Source organism: Homo sapiens, chromosome 6 (genome assembly GCF_000001405.40).
Source record: "Homo sapiens chromosome 6, GRCh38.p14 Primary Assembly".
Taxonomy (NCBI): Eukaryota; Metazoa; Chordata; class Mammalia; order Primates; family Hominidae; genus Homo; species Homo sapiens.
Window position 1 is genome coordinate 42,874,890 of NC_000006.12, and position 25,638 is coordinate 42,900,527.

The following is a 25,638-nucleotide window of genomic DNA, read 5'->3' on the forward strand; positions in this document are numbered from 1 at the left end:
CTACAGCCTTGACCCTCCAGGCTAAAATGATCCTTCCACCTCAGTCTCTCAAGTAGTTGAGACTACAGGTGTGCACCACCATGCCCGGCTAATTTTTTGTATTTTTAGTAGAAACAGGGTTTCGTCATGTTGCCCAGGCTGGTCTCAAATTCCCGGTCTCAAGTGATCCGCCTGCCTTGGCCTCCCAAAGTGCTGTGATTACAGGTGTGAGCCACCGCACCCAGCCTAATTTTTATATTTTTTGAAGAGATGTGGTTTCACCATGTTGCCCAGGCAGGTCTCAAACTTGTGAGCTCAAGTGATCCGCCCAACTGGGCCTCCCAAAGTGCTGGGATTACAGACGTGAGCCACCAACCTGGCTCAGAGCTTTTTCTTAAACTAATACGTATGTGGTAAACAAAGGGCGTATCATAAAATGGAAGTTTTCCTCCGATTCCAGACTCTACTACTATTTCCCAAAAAGACCACCGTCAGCACTTTTTCATATATGCTTCCAAAATTGTTACATACAAATATACCTATAACTGGCCGGGCGCGGTGGCTCATGCCTGTAATCCCAGCACTTTGGGAGGCCGAGGCAGGTGAACACCTGAGGTCAGGACTTCGAGACCAGCCTGGCCAACATGGTGAAACCCCATCTCTACTAAAAATACAAAAATTACCCAGGCGTGGTGGCGGGCACCTGTAATCCCAGCTACTCAGGAGGCTAAGGCAGGAGAATTGCTTGAACCCAGGAGGTGGAGGTTGCAGTGAGCCGAGATCGTGCCACTGCACTCCAGCCTGGGCGACAGAGCGAGACTCTGTCTAAAAAAAAAAGAAAAAAGAAAAGAAAAACAATCTGGGGACTGGGCACGGTGGCTCATGCCTGTAATCCCAGCACTTTGGGAGGCCAAGGCAGGCAGATCACGAGGTCAAAAGATTGAGACCATCCTGGCCAATATGGTGAAACCCCATCTCTACTAAAAATACAAAAATTAGGCAGGCATGGTGGTGTGCGCCTGTAGTCCCAGCTACTTGGGGGGCTGAGTCAGGAGAATTGCTTGAACCTGGGAGGCAGAGGTTGCAGTAGGCCGAGATAGTGCTACTGCACTACAGCCTGGCGACAAAGCGAGACTCCATCTCAAAAAAAAAACACAAAAAACCAAAACAATCTGGGACCATTTTTTTACACCCTAGTCTGTATTCCATATGTTTGGGACTGTTACAGTCAGGATTATTTGGTTGTAAACAACAGAAAATTATTCTAGTTAACCAACATAAAGGGATTTTGTAAGGAAGATAAGAATTAAAAAATTGAAGAACCCATGAGGCTTGAGAAGGACAGAGACAAAGAAACTCTAGGAGGTTTTCTTAGGTGGAAATCGTTAAAAGTTTTGCCCCTGACTGGGTGCGGTGGCTCATACCTGTAATCCCAGCACTTTGGGAGGTCGAGGTGGGCAGATCACTTGAGGTCAAGAGTTCGAGAGCAGCCTGGCCAACATGGTGAAACCCATCTCTACTAAAAATACAAAAATTAGCCGGGCGTGGTGGCACACGCCTGTAATCCTAGCTACTCGGGAGGCTGAGGCGCGAGAATTGCTTGAACCTGGGAAGCAGAGGTTGCAGTGAGCCAAGATTGCACCACTGCACTCCAGCCTGGACGACAGAGCAAGACTTTGTCTCAAAAAAAAAATAAAAATAAAAACGAAAAAAAAAAAAGTCTTGTCTCAAATCTGGTGCTTTGTTCCATCATCACTCTGCTTAAAATTCAAAATCACAGAGAAATTTAGCATCTCATACCCACTCCCAATGGGGTGATGAAAAGAATTGAAAAGATCTTCCAAAGACTCCTTCAGTTTAAGTATTGGAGGGCAAGCGTTTGGATTTGATATCCTCCCAACAGCTGCCCAAATGTACATGATGAAGAGGAAATAAGTTCACAAGAGGACTGGAATTTTTTTTTTTTTTTTGGTGGGGGGAGACAAGGTCTCACTCTGTCGCCCAGGCTGGAGTGCACCGATTCTCGTGCCTCAACCTCCCAAGTAGCTAGGATTACAGGTATGCGCCACCACACCCAGCTAATTTTTGTATTTTTAGTAGAGATGGGGTTTCACCATGATGGCCAGGCTGGTTTTGAACTTCTGGCCTCGGGCGATCTGCCTGCCTCAGCCTCCCAAAGTGCTGGGATTACAGGCATGAGCCACCACACCTGACCTCAGTAACCTCACTTTGAAAAAAAATCTAGGACACATGCTCAATGCTCAATAAACACATATTCAGTTAGTGAATAATTGTTTAAGAGGTGGGGCTCCTTTCTTTTTCCCTTTGTCAGTCTGGTGGAGTAAGGGGATTGGCACTGAGAATAAGTATTCTCCTAGCACCATCTGCTGGCAGTAGAAAGCCATTCCTGAATCCTGGCCTCAATCCCATTCAGTCTTGGAGTACTGGTTTTTTGGGGGTTGTTTTGACACAGATTCTTGCTCTGTTGCCCAGGCTGGAGTGCAGTGGCATAATCTCGGCTCACTGCAACCTCCGCCTCCCAGGTTCAAGCAATTCTCGTGCCTCAGCCTCCCAAGTAGCTGACTACAGACATGTGCCACCATGCCCGGCTAATTTTTGTATTTTTGGTAGAGACAGGGTTTTGCCATGTTGCTGAGGATGGTCTTGAACTCCTGAGCTCAAGTGATCTGCCTGCCTCGGCCTCCCAAAGTGCTGGGATTACAGGCGTGAGCCATCGCCGCCTGGCTGAAGTATTGTTAACCCTAAAATTCCTCCTCCTTTTAATATTATTGGTACCACAGACTCTACCTTTTATCCATAGACAGGAAAAATCACAAAACATTTAACTTTTTGCTTTTTTGTTTACTATTTAGTGAATGTCTTACACTTTGGTGACCCTTGTGTTTAGCCTCTTTACAAAGACACATGGTGAGGTGCTGAAAGAGAATGAGCCTCCCTCTTTCAGTGTGTGACCTTGAATGCTGGGTTGTCCTGACACTTACTCATCAGAAAGTGACCTGTGCCCATGGCACTCTTTCCGGTTGGACTAGTTACATGGCAACACGAGGCCTTTAGCTGCCACCAGTATCAGTATCAATAGTGCCAAAATCGAGAAATTGGTGCTAGATCCTTAGGATCAGTGATGAGTAAGCAGTCATGGTTCCTGCCCCCCCTAGTATCATGTGGAAGAAATATTAAAAATATAATAATGTCCTGAGGGAAATCAGACACTACTCTAGAGTCTTACTAGTCAGCCCATAGACCAGTAGCACCAGCGTCACTCTGAAGCCTGTTAAAAATGCAGAATATTGGCCAGGTGCGGTGGCTCACGCCTGTAATCCCAGCACTTTGGGAGGCCGAGGCGGGCGGATCACGAGGTCAGGAGATCGAGACCATCCTGGCTAACAAGGTGAAATCTCTACTAAAAATTCAAAAAATTAGCCAGGCGTGGTGGCGGGCGCCTGTAGTCCCAGCTACTCGGGAGGCTGAGGCAGGAGAATGGCGTGAACCCGGGAGGCGGAGCTTGCAGTGAGCCAAGATCGCGCCACTGCACTCCAGCCTGGGCGACAGAGCGAGACGCCATCTCAAAAAAAAAAAAAAAAAAAAAGCAGAATATCAGCTCCCCACCCGGCCTCCTGAATAAAAATCTGTATTTTAGTAAAATCTTCAGGTGACTCCTATTCACTATTAATGCTTGAGAAGCGCTGCTCTGGAGGTTTCCAGAGATGATAAGACTTGTGTTGTTTTTCAGGATTTTTAATTTTAAAAAAAATTTATTTCTTGTTTTTTTTGAGACTGTCTCGCTCTGTCGCCCAGGCTGGAGTGCAAGTGGCACAAACTCGGCTCACGCAGCCTCCGCCTTCTGGGACTTCAGGCGCGAGCCACCACGCCCAGCTAATTTTTTGTATTTTTAGTAGAGACGGGGTTTCACCATCTTAGCCATGCTGGTCTCCAACTCCTGACCTCAAGTGATCCACCTGCCTTGGCCTCCCAAAGTGCTGGGATTACAGGTGAAAGCCACCGGCCCGACCTACTGTTTTTCAGGATTCTATATAGACTGGGAGGGAAGAACGCAAATTCCGGGCGATGAGAGCTGCATAAGGGTTTTATTTTTATTCTTTTTTTTTCTTTTCTTTTCTTTTTGTTTTTTTGAGACGGAGTCTTGCTCTGTCGCCCAGGCTGGTGGGCAGTGGCGCGATCTCGGCTCACTGTAACCTCCGCCCAAGACGGGGTTTCGCCGTGTTGGCCAGGCTGATCTCGAACTCCTGACCTCAGGTGATCCTCCCGTCTCGGCCTCCCTCCCAAAGTGCTGGGATTACAGGCGTGAGCCACCGCGCCCGGCCTGTGTAACGGTTTTAGACGGGAAGGAAGCATGTTGTAGTTTTCGGTCCAGCAGTAATAGTAACAAACATAGTGCTGACAGACACTGCTAAACGCTTTATCTAATCTCCTGTAATCCTCGTAACGCCATTAGGTAGACCTATTATTACTGTACACCCATTTTATGGGTAATGAAGCCGCAGTATAGAGGGGTTAAATAACGTGTTCAAGGACGCATCGACGGGGCCAAGCAGACGGAATTGCAGCTACCTGCTTTACCACTCTAAGTCCTCAACAAACACTTCCACCTACACGTGAGAGCCAAAGCCATAGCCTCCAAGTTTTTCCACAGAGCGAAAATGTTTCGCGGAGTTTGCCTGTCTTCCTCCCCAGAGACGCAGCACAGCCGCGCCGGAAGTGCGGCGCCGTAGCTAGGAGCGGACGCCATAGGTGCATTGTGGGAAGCACTTTGCTGTCCACAGCCAGGCCGCTTGTGATGAAACTGTAACTTACAAGAAAAGGGCTGGGTTTTGAAAATAACACAGGCTCTAAAAACCCTAAGAAGCGGTGCAACTTTTGGCAGGAATCGGGGTTAGCGGGACCTCAAGGGCTCACTGCGGCTAAGTGAACGCTGACTGGTCCTCCAGCGTGAGCTAGAACAGACGTCTCTATGGTCAAGTAAACAGAGCGTGTGCTGTCTTCCCCATGTGGTGGGGTTGCGCATGATCAGTAGCTGCACCACTAGAAAGATGGCGGAGCAAGAGTGAGTGTTTGGGGCTTTGAATATCTGGAGTGGGGTCTTGAGTATCCGGTGCCATCCACGGTGTTTATGCCTTGGTGGCGGATTCCTGTGGGCTCTAGGAATAGAAAAGGCCACAGTTTACAAAGGGTGGGGGTGAGGAGGAGTAGCGCTGTGGCGGAGGAGGGAGGGGACCGCGGTCAAGTTCGGGTTATCTGGAGAGGCGAGGATTGACTTCAGGCAGCGGGCTGGAGTGCCACAGTTGAATTCACCCAGCCCGACAAGTGTTAACTCTGCAGATAGGCCTGCCCCCGCCCCAACCCCATAGATTCGTCGCTGCTAGTGCCTATGAAGAACTGTGGCCGTGAAAACCCTGTTAACTTATACGAACCCAGAGGCTAAAGGATTCATTATTTTCCGAGGCTTTGGGGATGAGTGACTATTAGGGATGGATTTATGAGGCCTGGAGTCAGAAACCGCAGGTTTCAGGGGAATCTTTCTTCAGATACTTGAAAACAGTAATGTTCCCTAAAGCCCAGGATATTGAATTGGTTTGGAAATCCATTGAATGTTCGTTTTCTTTTTTGTTGTTGTTTTTGTTTTGAGACGGAGTCTTGCTCTGTCCCCCAGGCTGGAGCGCAGTGTCGGGATCTCGGCTCGGTGCAACCTCCGCCTCCCGGGTTCAAGCGATTCTCCTGCCTCAGTCTCCCGAGTAGCTGGGATTACAGGCGTGCGCCACCACGCCCAGCTGATTTTTTATTTTTAGTAGAAACGGGGGTTTCACCATGTTGGTCAGGCTGGTCTCGAACTCCTGACCTCAGGTAATCCACCCACCTCGGCCTCCCAGAGTGCTGGGATTACAGGCTTGAGCCACCGAGCCCGGCCAAGTGTTCTTTTCTAAATGTTATCTCTGATCTCAATTTTCTGCATCAGGCAAAGAAAAATCCCTTTGGTTCCAGAAAATCTCCTGAAAAAGAGGAAGGCTTATCAAGCCCTCAAAGCCACCCAGGCAAAGCAGGCACTTTTGGCAAAGAAGGAGGTAATGGTGGGGAACCAAGAGAAAGTAATTAGAATTTTTATTTGGTGAGTTTTATCCCGCATGTGTTGGACTACATTTGGTATTGACGAGCTCCCCCCAACGGTTTGACAGACCAGGTATAGTTGTCTCTCAGTGTCCTTAAGGGGTTGGTTCCAGGACTCCCACAGATGCCTAAATCTCAGACTGCTGAAGTCCCTTATATAAAATGGTTGTAGTAGGCCGGGCGCGGTGGCTCACGCCTGTAATCCCTGCACTTTGGGAGGCCGAGGCGGGCGTATCACGAGGTCAGGAGATCGAGACCATCCTGGCTAACACGGTGAAACCCCGTCTCTACTAAAAATATAAAAAATTAGCCGGGCATGGTGGCAGGCTCCTGTAGTCCCAGCTACTCGGGAGGCCGAGGCAGGAGAATGGCGTGAACTCGGGAGGTGGAGGTTGCAGTGAGCCAAGTTCGTGCCACTGTACTCCAGCCTGGGCGACAGAGCGAGACACTCTCTCAAAAAATAAATAAATAAATAAATAACTGGTTGTAGTATTTGCATATAATCTATACTCCTTCCGCCTATGTAGTTTAAATCCTCTCTGGATTGCTTAATAGCTTTATTTATTTATTTATTTATTTTGAGGCAAGAGTCTCACTCTTGCCTAGAGTGGAGTGCAGTGGCACAATCTCGACTCACTGCAACCTCTGCCTACTGGGCTCAAGCAATTCTCGTGCCTCAGCCAACCAAGTAGCTAGGATTACAAGCATGCGCCACCACACCTGGCTAATTTTTTTTTTAACTTAATTTAATTTTGTTTTGTTTTTTGAGACAGAGACTCACTCTGTCACCCAGGCTGGAGTGCAGTGATGCGATCTTGGCTTACCACAACCTCCGCCGCCTCCCGGGTTCAAGCGATTCTCCTGCCTCAGCCTCCCAAGTAGCTGGGATTACAAGGATGTGCCACCATGCCCTGCTAATTTTTGTATTTTTAGTAGAGACCGGGTTTCACCATGTTGGCCAGGCTGGTGTCCAACTCATGGACTCAAGTGATCTGCCCACCTCGGCCTCCCAAAGTGCTGCGATTACTGATGTCAGCCACCCCACCCGGCCACCGGCTGATTTTTGTATTTTTAGTAGAGATGTTTTGACATGTTGGCCATGCTGGTCTCAAACTCCCGGCCTCAAGTGATCACCCACCGGCCTTCCAAAGTGCTGGGATTACAGGCCTGAGCCACCCTGCCTGGCCTGGATTACTGATAGCTAATACAGTGTACATAATGTATTTTAAAAATTTGTATTACTTTTTACGGTTATTTTTCATTTTTTCCCCTGAATTTTTTTTTTTTTTTTTTTTTAAGAGTGAGGTCAGCTGGGCTCACATCTGTAATCCCAACACTTTGGGAGGCTGAGGCGGGCAGATTACTTGAGGTCAGGAGTTCAAGACCAGCCTGGCCAACATGGTGAAACCCCATCTCTACTAAAAATACAAAAAATTAGACGGGCACTGTGGCATGCGCCTGTAATCCTAGCTAATCAGGGGGCTGAGGCAGGAGAATTGCTTGAACCCGAGAGGCGGAGGTTGCAGTGAGCTGAGATTGTGCCACTGCACTCCAGCCTGAGTGACAGAGCAAAACCCTGTCTCAAAAAAAAAAAAAAAAAAATAAGTGGGGTCTTTGGCCAGGTGTGGTAGCTCATGCCTGTTATCCCAGCACTTTGGGAGGCTGAGGCAGGTGGATCTCCTGAAGTCAGGAGTTTGAGACCAAGCTGGCCAACAAGGTGACCCTGTCTCTACTAAAAATACAAAAATTAGCCGGGTGTGGTGGCGCATGCCTGTAATCCCAGCTACTTGGGAGGCTGAGGCAGGAAAATGGCTTGAACTCAGGTGGCAGAGGTTGCAGTGAGCCGAGATCATATCACTGCACTCCAGCCTGGGCGACAGAGCGAGACCCCATCTCAGAAAAAAAAAAGAACAAGGAGTGAGGTCTTGTGTTACCCAGGCTAGAGTGCAGTGGCAGGATCATAGCTCATTGCAGCCTTGAATTCCTGGGTTCAAGAGAACCTCCCGCCTCAGCCTCCTAAGTAGCTGGGACTACAGGGTGAGCTACTGTATGTGCTCCTCCAAAGTATTTTCCATCTGGGGTTGGTTGAATCACAGATGCAGAGCACCAAGTGTATATGGTTTATGTCTTCATTTAGCAAATATTTAACACCTGCAGGCAAATGCTGGCGTGGAGTTTAAGGAAACTTGTTAGTAAACACTGATTAATATGTAAACTAATTTTTTGTTCGTTATTTTTCCCAATAATTCCCAAGTTTCCTCAACTCCACCTTTACTTTGGTTTCTCATTTTTCCTTTATATGAAAATAGAGAATGTTGCTTTGCTTCGCATTGTGGAACACGGGGAAATAAGCTATATCAGTTGTCACTTATGAATTACTGTTCTAAAAGTAAAAATGTATGGAGGCACAAGATGATGATGATGGTCTGTCTTCTCTGTAGCAGAAGAAAGGAAAAGGGCTCAGGTTTAAGCGACTGGAATCATTCCTACATGATTCCTGGCGGCAGAAACGTGACAAGGTGCGTCTCAGACGACTAGAAGTGAAACCTCATGCCTTGGAATTGCCAGATAAACATTCCTTGGCCTTTGTTGTACGCATCGAAAGGTAAGGAACTGGTGTCTTTCTAATTGCATGAGGCTGGGGCAAAGTGTTGCTTAAGCTTTAGACCCCTTTCTAGGGAGATAATATGCCCCAAGCCACTCAGGCAAATTGTGCTAGGATGTCAGGGTTGAGCACAATTTAGTCTGCAATATTTGGAAGACCTTAGACAGATAGGCTTGAAAATAAGTGCTATGAGGGTAAAGTGCTCACTAGGGAGAGGGGTTGAGGACACCCTCTCTAAAGCAGGAACTTCAACCTGAGACCTGAAAGATGTGAAAGGCGTTCACCAGTGTTGGGAGATTTTTCAGGCATACGTGCTGAAGTCCTGAGGTAGGGAAAGCAAGGCATCATTCTAGGAACTGAAACAAGGCTGAGTGGATGAAGCATATTCAGTGAAGGGGAGACATTTTTCCTCATTTAGTGGAACTTTCCCAACCCCCTGCCCACCCCATGTACAACTCTACTTCTTGCTGTTTCCCCTACCCAATCACCCAAACCAGAAACCTGTGGATTTTGCATGTTTATGAGCTCTGTCCTTTGTAGCCCTCTACCACTGCTCATATTTTTCCTGAACTATTGTATTAACCTTCCTCCTGGATTTCCTTGCCTCTAGTGTCATACTGTGATCTGTCCCATACACTGCCCTTGGTGATTGTCAGAAAGAAATCTGGTCTGGTCTCTTCTGCTTAAAATCTTCAGTAGCTTTTACTGCCCATAGAAGCACATCCAGCTTCCTTAGCTGGACATGTGTAGACCTACATACCACCACTCCGCCTACCCCTGAAACACACACAAGTTCAATTTCCATAGCATTCCAGGCACTGCTCCACATTATGAAAAGGATCTGTTTTCATAACCGCCTCCCACTAAACTGAGCTCTTTAAGGCATAGTCTCTGTGTCTTATTCCAGATTACCCAGTGTAGTGACCTCGCATGTTGTGCTTGCTGGACTGACATAAACTGGAGGGAGTCTGTCTGACTTCTGTTGCTGTTCATTTCAGGATTGACGGCGTGAGTTTACTGGTGCAGAGAACCATTGCAAGACTTCGCCTAAAGAAAATTTTTAGTGGTGTCTTTGTAAAAGTCACCCCCCAGAATCTAAAAATGCTGCGTATAGTGGAACCTTATGTGACCTGGGGGTAAGTAAGGTTTTCCATGTGAATTCACATTAGATTTCTATTTGAGTGTGTCAGGGTGCACCGGGTATTGCTTTCCAGGGCTCATGTTGCTGTAGAAGGGACATTTTGCTGTGACCACAGTCAACCTGAAATCAGTGGGTAGCTGTAATAACCATGGGACACAGGGTAGGGAGGGGTCTGAACAATACCATAGTAGGGCTGGTTCAGTCATAGGCTAAGGCTGGGTCAAGGAAAGCTTGGTTCTTGAAAGTCTTAAAGCAGAGCTAAAGGCAGTGCATGTGTAAGAGTAGTATTCCTGGCCGGACACACTGGCTCATGCCTGTAATCCCAACACTTTGGGAGGCCGAGGCGGGTGGATCACACGGTCAGGAGTGGATCACAGGGTCAGGAGATTGAGACCATCCTGGCCAACATGGTGAAACCCCTGTCTCTACTAAAATACAAAAAAAATTAGCCAGGCATGGTGATGTGTGCCTGTATTCCCAGCTACTTGGGAGGCTGAGGCAGGAGAATCGCTTGAATCCATGAGGCAGAGGTTGCAGTGAGCTGAGATTGTGCCACTGCAATCCACTCTGTCTCAAAAAAAAAAAAAAAGGCCAGACACGGTGGATCACGAGGTCGGGAGATCGAGACCATCCTGGCTAACATGGTGAAACCCCGTCTCTACTAAAAATACAAAAAAAATTAGCCTGGCACCTGTAGTCCCAGCTACTTGGGAGGCTGAGGCAGGAGAATGGCATGAACCTGGGAGGCGGAGCTTGCAGTGAGTCGAGATCGTGCCACTGCACTCCAGCCTGGGAGACTGAGCAAGACTCCGTCTCAAAAAAAAAAAAAGAGTAGTATTCCTCAAACATTGAAACCCAACAAAAACTTGGATTTTATTTCCAACTCTTGCACCATCTTGAGTAGAGGGTCACCTAAGGCCAGAGTCGTAGCCCCTAAGGTAAGCTAGGACATGGTTTCTGTTTTGTTTTTGTTGGCAATATTTTCCCTGGTGAACATTTACATCCATAAATTTAAATTTCTAATTATGTAAGTGGGGTCACTTCAGTTCTTTATCAGGAGTATTTCCAAGCATTTCAGCTGGAATGTGATTGCAGAACACTTGCTCGTTGGGAGAAGTGAGTGTGTGGGAGAACCTCTCCAACCTCTCAGCCAGGCTGCAGGACTGGTATGTAGTGTGCCAGGTGCTGGTGAAAACCGTGCTTTATTTTCCTACATAGATTTCCAAATCTGAAGTCTGTCCGAGAACTCATTTTGAAACGTGGACAAGCCAAGGTCAAGAATAAGACCATCCCTCTGACAGACAATACAGTGATTGAGGAGCACCTGGGTGAGTGCTACAGCTTAGGGATCAGCTGGGGCAGAAAGCCAGGGTCTTTGAAGCTTTGATGTGAGATTCAGGTTGTATTCTTCTTGGGGCCCCAAGAGTCTGCCAGAGTGGCCAGCTTAGTATATGCTGGATACATGTTAAATAAAGGAATCTGTGCTTTTGTGTTTCTTAGGGAAGTTTGGCGTCATTTGCTTGGAAGACCTCATTCATGAAATTGCCTTCCCAGGGAAGCATTTCCAGGAGATCTCATGGTTCTTGTGCCCTTTCCACCTCTCAGTGGCCCGTCATGCTACCAAAAATAGAGTGGGCTTCCTCAAGGAGATGGGCACACCTGGCTATCGGGGTGAACGCATCAATCAGCTCATCCGTCAGCTGAACTAGACCCAGGTGAGGCAGGGCTGAAAACTGCCCTTGGGCTGACTTTTGATAGGCCATGCCTTGCCACTTTACAAGTTCTTTTTGCATTTACTAGTATTTAAGAGTAACCTTGAGATTGGGAGGAATAGAGGAGGCTGGTACAAATAGATGGAGACCTGCTGGGATCAGTGAATGCCTGATTAGGACATGGGGCTATGCATAGCCTAAGAGTTATAGGCTTAAAGATGTCGAGTAACTAAAAACTGTATTGCTGGCCGGGCGCGGTGGCTCACGCCTGTAATCCCAGCACTTTGGGAGGCCAAGGCGGGCAGACCATGAGGTCAGGAGATTGAGACCATCCTGGCCAACATGGTGAAACCCTGTCTCTACTAAAAATACAAAAATGAGCTGGGTGTGGTGGCGCGTGCCTGTAGTCCCAGCTACTCGAGAGGCTAAGGCAGGAAAATCGCTTGAACCCAGGAGGCAGAGATTGCAGTGAGCCAAGATTGCACCAGTGCACTCCAGCTGGGCGACAGAGCGAGACTCCATCTCGGAAAAAAAAAAAAAAAAACTATTGCTGCAGTCATTCAGATGGAAATGAGGAAAGAATAATATTAATAACTGATTTCAAAAAGGACTTGAAGATGTGAATCATCTATTTTGCTGAAGAAATCTTAACTCTTTGAAATTACTTTTTATTGCTGTTGTCATACTCTTAGGTGCCAAACTGCGGTAAATTTTTTATCAGTGAAGTGGAAGCATGTGTTTTGTTTTGGAAATTTTTATCAAGTATCTTCAGAGAAGATTATTTCCTGCTTTATCTTCAGAAACTGGAAAGGGTCAAAGAAAAGACAGTAGCTGGCCGGTCGTGGTGGCTCATGCCTGTAATCCCAACACTTAGGGAGGCTGAGGTGGGCAGATCACCTGAGGTTGGGAGTTCGAGACCAGCCTGACCAACATGGAGAAATGCCATCTCTACTAAAAATACAAAAATTAGCCGGGCATGGTGGCACGTGCCTGTAATCCCAGCTACTCAGGAGGCTGAGGCAGGAGAATCGCTTGAACCTGGGAGGTGGAAGTTGCAGTGAGCTGAGATCACGCCATTGCACTCCAGCCTGGGCAACAAGCGAAACTCTGTCTCAAAAAAAAAGAAAAGACAGTAGCATATGTTCATGTCAAGCACCTCTCATCACAGTCGAGTTCCAAGGAAAAATTCCAGTGTTTTCTGCATTGGGTGCTGTGTCATCTGAAATCGGCACATTCCATGGAGGAAGGAGTCCTGCTTTGTTGCATGTATCCTAGGGTTTAATGTTGGTAAATGAGTCACTCTAGCATTTGTAGAAGGCTCCCTGAGACTCCTGCAGCAGTCGACCAAGCCCAAGGACATAATTGAATCTGGAGAGTCCTGGGGCCTTGTTTTGAAAAAGACTTGAAATACACATAGGAAGAAAGGCATAAAAATAAATGTTCACTTGTCTCTGCTGTGAGTATGTGTTCCAACTTTTCAGTGATGGCTTTGAGAATTCTCAAACTTGACTGGCTCTAAGTGTATCTGGTGGCTTTTGTATCGTAACCTGAAACTGGCTTAGTACTTTTTCCTAAAAGCTCAGGATTTGAGAATGAGGACCCCTTCGCCAGGAAAACATGTATACACTCAAAATTTTGCTTGCAGTTCTAGGGTGTTTAGACCCTTCTCAGATACCTGTGCATCTTATGGGTTTTGTTTTTCTCTTTGAGACAGTCTCACCCTGTTGCCCAGGCTGGAGCGCAGTGGCATGATCTCAGCTCATTGCAGCCTCCACCTCCTGGGTTCAAGTGATTCTGCCTCAGCCCCTTGATCAGCTGGGATTACATGCATGTACCACCACACCCAGCTAATTCTTGTATTTTTAGTAGAGATGGAGACAGAGTTTCACCATGTAGGCCAGGCTAGTCTCAAACTCCTGACCTCAAGTGATCCACAAGCCTGGGCCTCCCAAAGTGCTGGGATTACAGGCATGAGCAACTGCGCCCAGCTCTTGTGTACCTTATGTGAGGAAGTCCTGCTCAATCAGGATCGGTCACGCAGGCCCTGATCTTGCTACTCTGGTTCCATGTCCTATGGAAGACCAAAGTTTACCAAGATAGATTTTTCCCTTCATAGTGGCAGATAGTGTTAACCCCTGCACCATCTGTAACTCAGAAATCCCCACCATTTCTTCCCCTGGGCTTCAGAATAGAATTGCCTGGTTTCTCTGATGATCAGCATGGTTCCTTAAAACCCAAATCAGCAAGGAATGAACAATTTTGTTTGGCATGGATGAAATTAGCACTGTTTGGCTCGTTAGGCCCCAGGCAGGCAGGCACCTTAATTTTTTCCTTGCATATTCTAGTCTTCAGAAGCATTGCCTTTTGTCCTACTGGTAGTGACATAGACCAATAACAGGGCATCTGGGGATTTTAATCCTGAAAACAGTGAGTCTGATACTGCTTGTGTTTTTCATCAGTGTCCACCCCAAGTGGGTCTTCCTGCTATTCTCTTCACTTAGTTGCCCCTCACTTGCCATCTGAGCAATTGGCAAGGATGTGCCAGGCCTAGGTTAAACTTGGAAACATGCTTGACCATTCTATTCCCTGGTCCTTTAAGATCAGTTTGGCTGCAATTTTGGCTCCTTGGACCCTCAAGCATAGCTGGTAAATCAAGTTAGAGATGTAACTGCCTTAAAACATGCCAGCTTAGGCTGGGCACGGTGGCTCACACCTGTAATCTCAACACTTCAGGAGGCTGAGGCAGGCAGATCACTTGAGGTCAGGAGTTCGAGACCAGCCTGACCAACATGGAGAAATTCTGTCCCTACTGAAAATACAAAATTAGCCGGATGTGGTGGTGCATGCCTGTAATCCCAGCTACTTGGGAGGCTGAGGCAAGAGAATTGCTTGAACCCAGGGAGGCAGAGGTTGCAGTGAGCCGAGATCACACCATTGCACTCCACCTTGGGCAACAAAAGCAAAACTCTGTCTCAAAAAAAAAAAAAAAAAAAGTGCCAGCGTATGAGGTAATTAGATTGGTTCTCTCCAGAGGTAACCTGCCAAGAAGAGATGCTATAGATGTTACTCCTATACTGTAAAACATTGTGAAATCAGATTACTTTAAAATGATGTATTACAAAGTTATGCAAAAAAGCAGTTGTGACTATGGAAGCCCAAGGCTTATATCCCAGCTCTGTCTTACACTAAATATGGGTACAGTGTTTCCACTCTGTCCATAAAATGGGAGCTAATATTCTCCAACCTGTGTGCCTGACATGATGGTTAAAGGGATTAAACAAAACAATAGTTTGTAATTTATTCTGTCAGAGCAAACTGCTGGTAAATAAAAGGGACTAAGTTGACGAAAAATAAATTTTAAAAAACCTAATAAAACAAGTTTGTAATTTATAATTGTATACAAATAAAAGATGTTACAAAAATTGCGCACTTATATGTATGTACCATGACATAACTAATTCGTTGAACAAGTTGTGAGACAATCCTTTCTGAGAAAAGGTAGACCTGTTACATCGTCTGTGGGTTAGGGTCATGTCAGCACGTACCAGGTACATTCTAGCTTTTGTAGAGAAAGTAAAATCTAGTGTTGAGTATGTAGGCACTGAGCCAGGTGGCCTGCTTAACATAAAAGGACTGATTTCAGGGTGGCTGTGGGAGCCTTTCTAATGCTCTAATTCTCTAGCCCCTTGCCTGATCCAGCTGATTCCAAGAGCCAAGATTTTAGTCTTTCTTGGTTGGCTTTTTTAAATGCTTTGGGCTTTCCTTTAATGTATCTTCAAAATCATTCTGGGGCCAAGTTACATCATAAAACATTTTATTACATATAAGGACTGAAACAGGATTTTTCTTAACTGTAACATGGTCCACAAATGTAAATGCAAAACCCCCATGGTGGTTGCAGGAGCAAGTCTAGTTGAGACAGGTCAGGACGAAAGCATAAAAGATGAGTAACTGAATGGCATCCCGGGTCCTGTAGCCACGCCCTCCAGATCGCCGCCGCAAAGGACCTGGAACCTCAGGGGCCCACTGTATGCCATGAAGAAGGCGCAGTCGCTGCCTCAACCAAGCCAGGCTCCGCCGGGGCCGTTCCTATCCTGAGGGTCGGAGGGGGAAGGGACTCAGCCAAAGCCGCGGCCTCCCAGGGCTTGGGCCTCCGCGGCAGCCGGGACGCTGTGGGTTCGCCGTGGATCGCCGCGATGTGGCGTTTCTCCAGGCCCGGGAGTTCCTGGCCCTGCTGGACCAGCTGCAGGAGCTGCGCCAGGGTAACCGAAGCTGAGGCAGAGGCCGGGGCCGAGCATTGGGGACTGCGGGGACGCTCCATGTCGGGTCGCGAATCCTGACCGGCGTGTAATGCAGAGAAGCGAGCACTTCCGGGCCGAATGGGTGCAACCACCATGGGGGAGGTGGGGAAAGGAAAGGGAGGCTGTAGACCGTACCAAGCCGGCCCAGAACTGGGGGAGCACTTGACAACTCTGACCAGCTCCCTGCAGAAACGCTTTAGAAGCGTCCACGATTTAGCCAAACCCAGAGTGCCCAACGGACGCGCCAAAGAAGAAAAACGGACGGACGTGCCAAAACTTGAAGGCTAGCACAGGACAGAACAAGCCTGCGGACGCGCCGCTGCGGGCAAAAAGACCCATACATACATAAGCACCGCGCACATGCCCATTTTCATGCACACCCCCGGGCGCGCGTACAAGGATTCAGATACAACGCATGGCGGGGGATAATCCCCATACTAGGCTCCGCAGCACGGGACAAAGCATAACTGTAGAGTTGTTCCCAGAGGCCTCAGGAGTGACACCGCCACCAAGCCACGCTACTCTCTTAGTTGTTATTATTGTTTTGTGTTGTTTTAGACGGAGTCTCACTCTGTTGCCCAGGCCGGAGTGCAGCGATGCGATCTCAGCGCACTGCAACCTCCGCCTCCTGGTTCAAGCGATCCACAGGGTCCCTAGTGCCTCAGCCTCCCTAGTAGCTGGTGTATGCCACCAAGCCCAGCTAATTTTTGTATTTTTAGTAGAAACAGGGTTTCACCATGTTGGCTAGGCTAGTCTCGAACTCCTGACCTTAAGTGATGCACCCGCCTCAGCTTTCCAAAGTGCGGGGATTACAGGTGTGAGCCACCGCACCCAGCCAGAGCCTCACCACTTTCTTCACACTTCCTGCCATCCTTCAATTCTTGGTGGTCCCAGAGAAGATCGAAGGTGAAAGCAGGTCAGATGTGCTACAGCTGCTCTGACTGCTCGGAAAGTCAGGTTTTTAAATTATCAAAAGTGGCCGGGCACGGTGGCTCACACTTGTAATCCCAGCACTTTGGGAGGTGGAGGCAGGTGGATCTCAAGGTCAGGAGTTTGAGACCAGCCTGACCAACATGGGGCAACCCCCGTCTCTACTAAAAATACAAAAATTAGCTGGGTGTGGTGGCATGCACCTGTAATCCCAGCTACTCAGGAGGCTGAGGCAGGAGAATCGCTTGAACCTGGGAGGCAGAAGTTGCAGTGAGCTGAGATTGCAGCACTGCACTCTACCCTCGGTGACACAGCAAAACTCTGTCTCAAAAAAAAAAAAAAAAAGTATCAAAAGCTAGACTGATCTGGTGAACATCACCTTAATCAAAGAATCAAAGCTTAATGGCCAGGCGTGGTGGCTCACACCTGTAATCCCAGCACTTTGGGAGGCTGAGGTGGGCAGGTCACCTGAGATCAGGAGTTTGAGACCAGCCTGGCCAACATGGCGAAACCCCATCTCTACTAAAAATACAAAAAAATTAGCCAGGCATAGTGGTGCGCACCTGTAATCCCACCTACTTGGGAGGCTGAGGCAGAAGAATTGCTTGAACCTAGGAGGCAGGGAGGTTGCAGTGAGATGAGATCACACCACTGCACTCCAGCCTGGGCAACAGAGTGAGACTCAGTCTCAAAAAAAAAAAAAAAAAAAAAGCTTAATAGGACAAACTGGCCTTGTGTGCCTTCTGATGTGATGCACTGGGAAGGACACACACACGGGGAGTACATTTCTGTAGTAGTCCTCCCCAAAATGCCCAAAAAATGTTCACTCACCACCTAGTCTTGAGGAAATAGAGATCAAAGTGAGAGAGATTCTGCAAAATGATTGGTCTGGACACTTTACAGATGTCGTTGTTATAAAACATTAAGAAAAAGCTAAGAACTACCCCAGATTAAAGGAGACATAAAAAATAAATACAGGCCAGACACAGTGGCTCATGCCTTTAATCCCAGCACTTTGGGAGGCTGAGGTCGGTGGATTGCTTGAACTCAGGAATTCAAGACCAGCCTGGGCAATATAGCAAAACCCCATCTCTACTAAAAAATACAAAAAAAAAAAATTGCTGAACATGGTGGTGGACACCTGTAGTCCCAGCTATTCTGGAGGCAGTGGTCGAAGAATCGCTTGAACCCGGGTAGGTGGAGGTTGCACTGAGCTGTGATTGCCAGCAACTTCCGACTGGGAGACAGAGTGAAACTCTGTCTCCAAAAATAAAATAAAATATAAATAAATAAATAAATTCAATGAGTGATCCTGGATTAGATGCAAGATTGTGTAGGGGAGATCAGCTCTAAAGGACATTTTACCCTTGGGGAAATTTGAATATGATCCATATATTAGATGACAACGATATATCAATGTTAAATTTATCAAGTGTGATAATTGTGGTTATGTGTGGGAATTACCTTGTTCATAGCAAATACATTCTGAAGTATGTAGAGGTGAAGTGTCATGATGACAGAAAGAAAGCAAATGTGGCAAAATTGCTAAGAATTAGTGAATCCACGTGAGGGTTTGAAACTTGTCAAAATAAAAAGTTGGGGTAGGCCCGGTGCAGTGGCTCACGCCTATAATCCCAGCACTTTGGGAGTGGTCAAGGCAGGAGGATCACTTGAACCCAGGAGTTCAAGACTAACCTGGGCAACATAGTGAGACCCCCTCCAAAAACAAAAATTGGCTGGATGTGGTGGCACACACCAGTAGTTCCAGCTACTTGGAAGGCTGAGGCTGGAGTATCACTTGAGCTCAGGAGGTTGAGGCTGCAGTGAGCCAAGATTGTTCCACTGCACTCTAGCCTGAGCAACAGAGACTCTGTTAAAAAAAAAAAAATTGGGGTAGGGGGCACTTGGTAAGAGCTTGAGAAGCCAGTCTGGAGGAAACTGACCATATTGAATGTTGTATAATAAAGAATTTTGAAGGGGTGGCCTGCCCCTCCACACCTGCGGGTATTTCTCGTCAGGTGGGACGAGGGACTAAAAAAAGAAATAAGACACAGAGACAAAGTATAGAGAAAGAACACTGGGCCCAGGAGACCAGCGCTCAGCGTACGGAGGACCTGCACTGGCCCCAGTCTCTGAGTTCCCTCAGCATTTACTGATTATTATTTTCACTGTCTCAGCAAGGGGAATGCAGCAGGAGAACAGGGTGATAGCGGGGAGAAGGTCAGCAAGAAAACATGTGAGCAAAGGAATCTGTGTCACAAATAAGTTCAAGGGAAGGTACTATGCCTGGATGTGCACATAGGCCAGATATATGCTTCTCTCCACCCAAACATCTCAGTGTAGTAAAGAATAACACAGCAGTATTGCCACCAGCATATCTCGCCTCCAGCCACAGGGCGGTTTTCTCCTATCTCAGAATAGAACGAATGTACAATCGGGTATTATACTGAGACATTCCGTTCTCAGGGGCATGCAGGAGACAGAGGCCTTCCTCTTATCTCAACCGCAAGAGGCCTTCCTCTTTTACTAATCCTCCTCAGCACAGACCCTTCACGGGTGTCGGGCTGGGGGATGGTCAGGTCTTTCCCGTCCCACGAGGCCATACCTCAGGCTGTCTCAGTGGGGAGAAACCTTGGACAATACCTGGCTTTCCTGGGCAGAGGTCCCTGTGGCTTTCTGCAGTGCATTGTGCCCCTGGTTAATCGAGAATGGAGAATGGCGATGACTTTTACCAAGCATACTGCCTGTAAACATTTTGTTAACAAGGCACATCCTGCACAGCCCTAGATCCCTTAAACCTTGATTCCATACAACACATATTTCCGTGAGCACAAGGTTGGGGCTAAAGTTACATATTAACAGCATCTCAAGGCAAAACAATTGTTCAGGGTACAGATCAAAATGGAGTTTCTTATGTCTTCCTTTTCTATGTAGACACAGTAACAGTCGGATCTCTCTTTTCCCTACATATCCCCCTTTTTGACAAAACTGCCATCGTCGTTATGGCCCGTTCTTGCTGGTCGCTGTCTCTTCGGAGCTGGTGGATACACCTGTGGACTAACAACAGACAGAACAGGCATACAAGGATTAATATGAAATTTACAATAGTGGAACTTCTGATGGTTTTTAACCAAGTGACAGTGTTAAGATTTGTGAGGCCATCAGTAGCTTTCACGATTGCCTCAGTTCCCAAATTTAAATGGGCTTTCGATGCCTCAAAATTTTGTTATTTTAATTTTGAAATATCTAAAGTAAGATTATCTTCTCTTCCCTGTAGATGGCATCTAACCATGTCCCAGTGATGCTCAGACTCATTATAGGCTTGGGGTGTAATACAAAAATCTGACATATTCCAGTCACACTGTAACTGAAAAAGATATTCCAAGCTCATGAGCCTATTTCCCAGCCAAATGACAGTTTGTCTAAGATCATTAATTTCGTTTGCCAATTTTTGATTTATTTGGGTCTGAGAATTCCACAATTTTGAGGAATTCTTTCGCCAATCATTTACATATTCTGCAGTTTGAACAGAGGAGTGTAAAGCAATTCCAGCAGCTGCAGCAGTAGCTGTGACTGCAATAAGGCCCATAATCACTGCAATCAAAGTAAAAATCTTTTGGATCTAGTTAGAATTCCTTTTAATACTTCCGTTAAAATATGGAAGATGGCGAAGCCTCCCACTGTCGGTCCATGGACACAGGGATCCGCACACCTTCTCTTGCCCTCACTAGCAGAATATGGCGCTGCCAATTAAAAGTCAAATCAATGCAAGTAAACAATCTACAGTTTTCACAGGTTATAGTTTGGGAATCTGGTTTAATAACTATGTTTTCTATAACTAGCATATAAGGGGGTTTTACACAACTTTGTAAAGGAATTGTCAGATTGGAATTTAGGTTGATAGTATAATATGGCTTACGATTTCTTGTTTCTGTAGCTTGATTTCCAGACCAAATTCTAATGTAGTGCGAGGCCACAGTAAGCTTCCATAATTTTGGATGTTTAGGACCAGTAACAGGACTAACTAACTTTGGTCGAGGTGATGAAATTCCCTTTTCACCCCATTTCCAGGGATAGGGTGATTCTAGCCTTCTATAAACCTGGTCCAGCCTTTCAATTAAATCACTATCATAGGCCGGATTAATGGGCCAGATGGATGGGGCCTGTAAACATGAGTGAGTCTGGCCCATACAATTATATATAATATAATTGTATATAATATAATATAATATATAACTATTATATAATATTATAGTAGTTCCAAATTCATTGTTTTGTAATACCACCGCAGTATTAGCCACACATTCTTCCCAAACTAAGGCTTCTGGGCTTTTTGATTCTTTGGGAATTTCCTTGGGGCAAGGCTTCCCCTTAGGCCCAGATTTTAATGATCTTTGATAAGAAGCGTCCTCTAAATTATTTATCTGTGGCCCGAGTGACATTCCACTTACCATGTGATAAGTAAATTTACTGGTGGCACTGACGGTAGGTACTTCTACCAACCAGTTTTGGGTTGTAGGCATTAAACATCCTGGTGCCTTCCCTAGGCAAATAGGAGGATAATGATACCCAGTGGAAACATTTATCATCATTCCTTCTTCTTTAGGTTGGGCAGGGCAACAATCGTCTGTGGGGCCTGGTACCCATGCCCTATTATTAACATATACTTCAACAGGATTATCCATCCATGTGACTGCCCAAATTAAGGGTGGGAAAGGCACATAGGCACAGTAAGTATAATTAGTTGCAGCTGCTCCTGCAGACATGGGGAGACTTACTACCGTTGATATAATAATCAAAGCTGTAAGCAGTATATTCTCTGGAGTTCACATTACCCTTGTGTTCTTTAGGCTTTTTTTAGCTAACTGTGTCAGCTTCTTTAATTGGGCCCAAGTCGGTGGCTCCGCTTCCTTGGTGGATGGCAACTTCATCTGTTCTTCTGATATCACCATTTTATTTACCTGGCGAGTCGATGATGCTCAATTGAGGGTTTTTTGTCTCCGCAGAGGCGCTTTTCTTCGCATCTCCAAGGGGTTCATTGTAGAACTTTAAATTTCTAGTGGGTATCCAACCAGGAAGCTGATTTTCTCCTTGTGAAACACAAGCAAAGCCTCTCTCCCATGTTATCACCTTCCCTATTTCCCATGTCTTATTTTTCTTGTCTTTCCACCAAATCAGTTTTCCTTCATGTGGGCTATTCTTTTTACCAGTAAAATGTTGTTCTGCAGAAGTAGTGGTTTGATTTCTATAAATGTTTAAAAAATTTAAAGTATAGAGTGCTAGATTAAGTTGCATCTGGGGAGTGTTATACTCCTTACTGTCTTTTTTCCTTTTTTTGTTTAACCAATTGAGCTTTGAGTGTTCTATCAGTTTTTTCAATTATGGCCTGTCCTTGGGAATTATAAGGGATTCCTGTTGTATGTGTAATTTTCCACTGATTTAAGAATTTTTGAAATGTTTTACTACAGTATCCTGGCCCATTATCCGTTTTAATTTTTTCTGGAACTCCCATGACAGCAAAACAAGATAATAAATGTCTTTTAACATGGGAAGTATTTTCTCCTGTCTGGCAGTTTGCCCTTACAAAATGTGAATAAGCATCAACTGTCACATGGAGAAATGACAATTTTCCAACTGAAGGTACATGTGTGACATCCATTTGCCATAACGCATTAGGACACAGACCTCTGGGATTAACTCCTGCCTCCTGAGTGGGCAGGTGTGGAATCTGACACTGGGTGTAATGTTGTACAATATTTTTTGCCTGTTTCCATGTGATGTCAAATTTATTTTTTAGTCCTGTTGCATTTACATGAGTCAAGGCATGAAGTTCTTGTGCTTCCAGGAATGCAGATGATACTAGCAAGTCAACTTGTTCATTTGCTTTAGTTAAAGGCTCTGGTAAATTAGTATGTGCTCGAATATGAGTAACATAAAATGGGAAATTTCTTTTTCTTACAGTTTGTTGTAACATATTAAACAGCTGGTTTAACTGATCATCTATACTATATTTGATTAGGGCTGTCTCAACATCCTTTGTAGCCTGTACTACATATGCAGAATCTGATACAATGTTAATAGGCTGATTAAAATCTTGTAACACTGTAATGACAGCAACCAACTCTGCTCTTTGAGCCCAGTGATATTGAGTTTCAATGAGTCGTTCTTTTGGCCTGGTGTAAGCCGCTTTTCCATTGCTGGAACCATCAGTAAACACTGTCAGAGCATTTTCTAAAGGTTTATGTCTAGTAATTTTAGGTAAAATCCAAGTAGTCAATTTTAAAAACTGGAAGATTTTTGTTTTTGGGTAATGATTGTCAATAATTCCCACAAAATCAGCAAGACCAATCTGCCATGCACCAGAATTGATAAAGGCTTGTCTAACCTGTTCCTTGTTTAAAGGAACAATGATTTTATCTGAGTCACTTTCACACAATTTTATTATTCGTAATCTTGCCTGACCAATTAATGTAGCCATTTGATCCAAGTACAATGTAAAAGTCTTAATTGTACTATGAGGAAGGAAGAACCACTCCACAAGATCTGTATTTTGAGCAATAATGCCTGTTGGAGAATGTGCAGTAGCAAAAATCAAAAGTTGGAGTGGGGCTAAGTGATCTATTCTATTTACTTGTGCTGACCGAATTTTTTCTTCAACTAATTCAATTTCTTTAGTTGCTTCTGGAGTTAATGTTCTTTTACTATTCAATTCTGGATCCCCTCTTAAGATAGAGAACAAATTTGACATGGCATAAGTAGAGATGCCTAGAGTTGGCTGAATCCAATTAATATCTCCTAGCAATTTTTGAAAGTCATTTAATGTTTTTAATGTGTCTTTTCTTATTTCTATTTTTTATGGTTTAATTTTCGTTTCCTCCACCTGCATTTCCAAGTAATGGAAAGGAGTAGAGGTTTGAATCTTATCAGATGCTGTCGTCAGTCCTGCGTTTGCAACCTCTGTCTGCAGAAATGTGTAACAGTCAATTAATTTGTCTCTCCTTTCTGTAGCACACAAAATATCATCAACATAATGAATGATATAAGAGTCTGAAAACTGTCTCTAATTGGTTGAAGAGCTTGAGCTACAAAAGTCTGGCAAATAGTTGGACCATTAAGCATTCCCTGAGGCAACACTTTCCACTGAAACCTGGTGGCTGGTTCTTTATTATTTATGGCTGGTATAGTAAAAGCAAATTTTTCAAAATCCTGTTTTGCCAGAGGAACGGTAAAAAAGCAATCCTTCAGATCAATTATAACTAAAGGCCGATCTTTGGGGATCATGACCGGAGAGAGCAACCCAGGTTGGAGAGCCCCCATGGGTTGAATTACAGCATTAACGGCTCTTAAGTCGGTCAGCACGCGCCATCTGCCGGATTTTTTCTGAATTACAAACACAGGAGAATTCCAAGGCGAAAATGAAGGCTCAATATGTCCCTTTTCTAATTGTTCCTTTGCTAATAAGTGTAAAGCCTCCAGCTTTTGTTTTGGTAGCAGCCACTGATTCACCCATACAGGTTTTTTTGTTTTCCAAGTTAATGGAATGGGTTTTGGAGGCTCTACAGTGGCCGCTCTTAAAAAGGATACCCTATTCCTTTTCTTTTTTGAGTTTTTTCAGCCTCAATTGGGACTTTAATGCTGTCTTCATTCTTTCCTAGTCCCTTTTCAGGGAGATATCCCATTTTAGTTATGATTTTTTGACTCGTGGGGCTGTATTGGGGGCTGGGATAGTAATCGCTGCATGCCATTGTTGTAACAAGTCTCGGCCCCATAAATTAATTGGAATAGAAGTGATCATAGGCTGAACTGTACTTTCTTGATCATCAGGTCCTAGACAATGTAAACTCATGGCACTTTGATACACTTCTGAGGCAGTGCCTACGCCGACAAGTCCTGTAACAGGCTTTTGTTTAGGCCAATTTTGGGGCCATTGATTTAAGGCAATGATAGCACCATCACCCAGTATCCACTAATCCTTCAAACTGCTTTCCCTGAATAGTGACTGCACACACGGGTCTATCCTCTGAGACCTGACTAGCCCAATAAGCGGCTTTTCCGGCAGGGTTGGTACTTCCAAACCCTCCTGTTCTTTCCGTTTTGTTTTTCCCAATTTTAATACAAGGCAAAAGCAGTAATTGTGCAATTCTATCACCTGGATTGGCACTCCAGGGAACAGTGGAGCTGATCACTAACTGAATTTCCCCTTTATAATCTGAATCAATTACACCAGTATGAATTTGGACTCCCTTCAAATTTAGACTTGATCTCCCTAAAATAAGGCCTACCGTCCCTTCTGGCAGCGGGCCATATACCCCTGTAGGAATCTTTTGCGGGGGCTCTCCAGGGAGTAAAGAAACCATTTGAGTAGAACACAAATCTACTGCTGCGCTGCCTGCTGTGGCAGGGGACAGCTGTTGTATTGTTGTAATTGGCTGACTCCCTGAAGTGGTGGTATTTCCTGCGGGAGTTTTTGTCCCTGAAAACCCTGAGGAACAAACGGCTGAATCGGAATGCCCCAATTTGTTGCGGGGCCTGAGGCTGGCCCCTCTTCCCATTTCCCCAACAATGGTTGCCCATCTTTATCAAATTTAGAATGACATTGATTAGCCCAATGTTTTCCTTTTCCACATTTTGGACACAGGCCAGGTGGCTCTTTATTTTTTGCCGTTATAGCTTGATTTATTTATATTTATATTTTTCTTTTTTTTGAGACGGAGTCTGGCTCTGTTGCCCAGGCTGGAGTGCAGTGGTGCGATCTCGGCTCACTGCAAGCTCTGCCTCCTGGGTTCATGCCATTCTCCTGCCTCAGCCTCCCGAGTAGCTGGGACTATA

General features: G+C 45.6%; 2 protein-coding genes across 5 annotated transcripts, besides 7 other annotated features; one reads left to right on the forward strand and one right to left on the reverse strand.

The window, feature by feature from the left end:
* Window positions 3,739-4,696: an enhancer, noted in NCBI's record as "NANOG-H3K27ac-H3K4me1 hESC enhancer chr6:42846366-42847323 (GRCh37/hg19 assembly coordinates)". NCBI's record gives its function as "activates a minimal SCP1, AML or CMV promoter by ChIP-STARR-seq in naive H9 embryonic stem cells {active_cell/tissue: H9 hESC(naive)}" and the evidence as "EXISTENCE:reporter gene assay evidence [ECO:0000049][PMID:30033119]".
* Window positions 3,739-5,653: a biological region, named in NCBI's record as "NANOG-H3K27ac-H3K4me1 hESC enhancers GRCh37_chr6:42846366-42847323 and GRCh37_chr6:42847324-42848280".
* Window positions 4,439-4,908: an enhancer, noted in NCBI's record as "active region_24573". NCBI's record gives its function as "activates an Ori minimal core promoter by ATAC-STARR-seq in GM12878 lymphoblastoid cells {active_cell/tissue: GM12878}" and the evidence as "EXISTENCE:reporter gene assay evidence [ECO:0000049][PMID:35858748]".
* Window positions 4,697-5,653: an enhancer, noted in NCBI's record as "NANOG-H3K27ac-H3K4me1 hESC enhancer chr6:42847324-42848280 (GRCh37/hg19 assembly coordinates)". NCBI's record gives its function as "activates a minimal SCP1, AML or CMV promoter by ChIP-STARR-seq in naive H9 embryonic stem cells {active_cell/tissue: H9 hESC(naive)}" and the evidence as "EXISTENCE:reporter gene assay evidence [ECO:0000049][PMID:30033119]".
* Window positions 4,727-15,011, forward strand: RPL7L1 (ribosomal protein L7 like 1). Of its 4 annotated transcripts, none has more exons than NR_134562.3 (7): window positions 4,727-5,062; window positions 5,972-6,193; window positions 8,562-8,725; window positions 9,724-9,861; window positions 11,085-11,194; window positions 11,367-11,581; window positions 12,271-15,011. NR_134562.3 is itself a non-coding variant. In NM_198486.5 (7 exons), exons 1-6 carry the CDS (start codon window positions 5,022-5,024, stop codon window positions 11,573-11,575), a joined length of 768 nt encoding a protein of 255 aa, NP_940888.3. In that variant the 5' UTR covers window positions 4,727-5,021; the 3' UTR covers window positions 11,576-11,581; window positions 12,271-15,011. The 4 variants fall into 4 exon arrangements, 2 of the variants coding, with proteins under 2 accessions (NP_940888.3, NP_001353410.1); NM_198486.5 differs by having other exon boundaries at window positions 5,972-6,077; NR_134563.3 differs by lacking the exon at window positions 5,972-6,193.
* Window positions 4,929-4,988: an enhancer, noted in NCBI's record as "active region_24574". NCBI's record gives its function as "activates an Ori minimal core promoter by ATAC-STARR-seq in GM12878 lymphoblastoid cells {active_cell/tissue: GM12878}" and the evidence as "EXISTENCE:reporter gene assay evidence [ECO:0000049][PMID:35858748]".
* Window positions 15,376-15,932, reverse strand: PEX39 (peroxisomal biogenesis factor 39). The gene has a single exon (NM_001008739.2). The coding sequence runs from the start codon at window positions 15,897-15,899 to the stop codon at window positions 15,594-15,596; it is 306 nt and encodes a 101-aa protein (NP_001008739.1). The 5' UTR covers window positions 15,900-15,932; the 3' UTR covers window positions 15,376-15,593.
* Window positions 15,424-16,273: an enhancer, noted in NCBI's record as "active region_24575". NCBI's record gives its function as "activates an Ori minimal core promoter by ATAC-STARR-seq in GM12878 lymphoblastoid cells {active_cell/tissue: GM12878}" and the evidence as "EXISTENCE:reporter gene assay evidence [ECO:0000049][PMID:35858748]".
* Window positions 16,334-16,383: an enhancer, noted in NCBI's record as "active region_24576". NCBI's record gives its function as "activates an Ori minimal core promoter by ATAC-STARR-seq in GM12878 lymphoblastoid cells {active_cell/tissue: GM12878}" and the evidence as "EXISTENCE:reporter gene assay evidence [ECO:0000049][PMID:35858748]".

Coding starts and splice junctions, on each gene's coding strand:
- PEX39 (NM_001008739.2), bottom strand. CDS start 15,899: ATGGAGCGTCCCCGCAGTCCCCAATGCTCGGCCCCGGCCTCTGCCTCA.
- RPL7L1 (NM_001366481.3), top strand. CDS start 5,022: ATGATCAGTAGCTGCACCACTAGAAAGATGGCGGAGCAAGA. Junction 5,063..5,971: donor AGAAAGATGGCGGAGCAAGA/GTGAGTGTTTGG, acceptor TTTCTGCATCAG/GCAAAGAAAAATCCCTTTGG. Junction 8,726..9,723: donor TTTGTTGTACGCATCGAAAG/GTAAGGAACTGG, acceptor TGTTCATTTCAG/GATTGACGGCGTGAGTTTAC.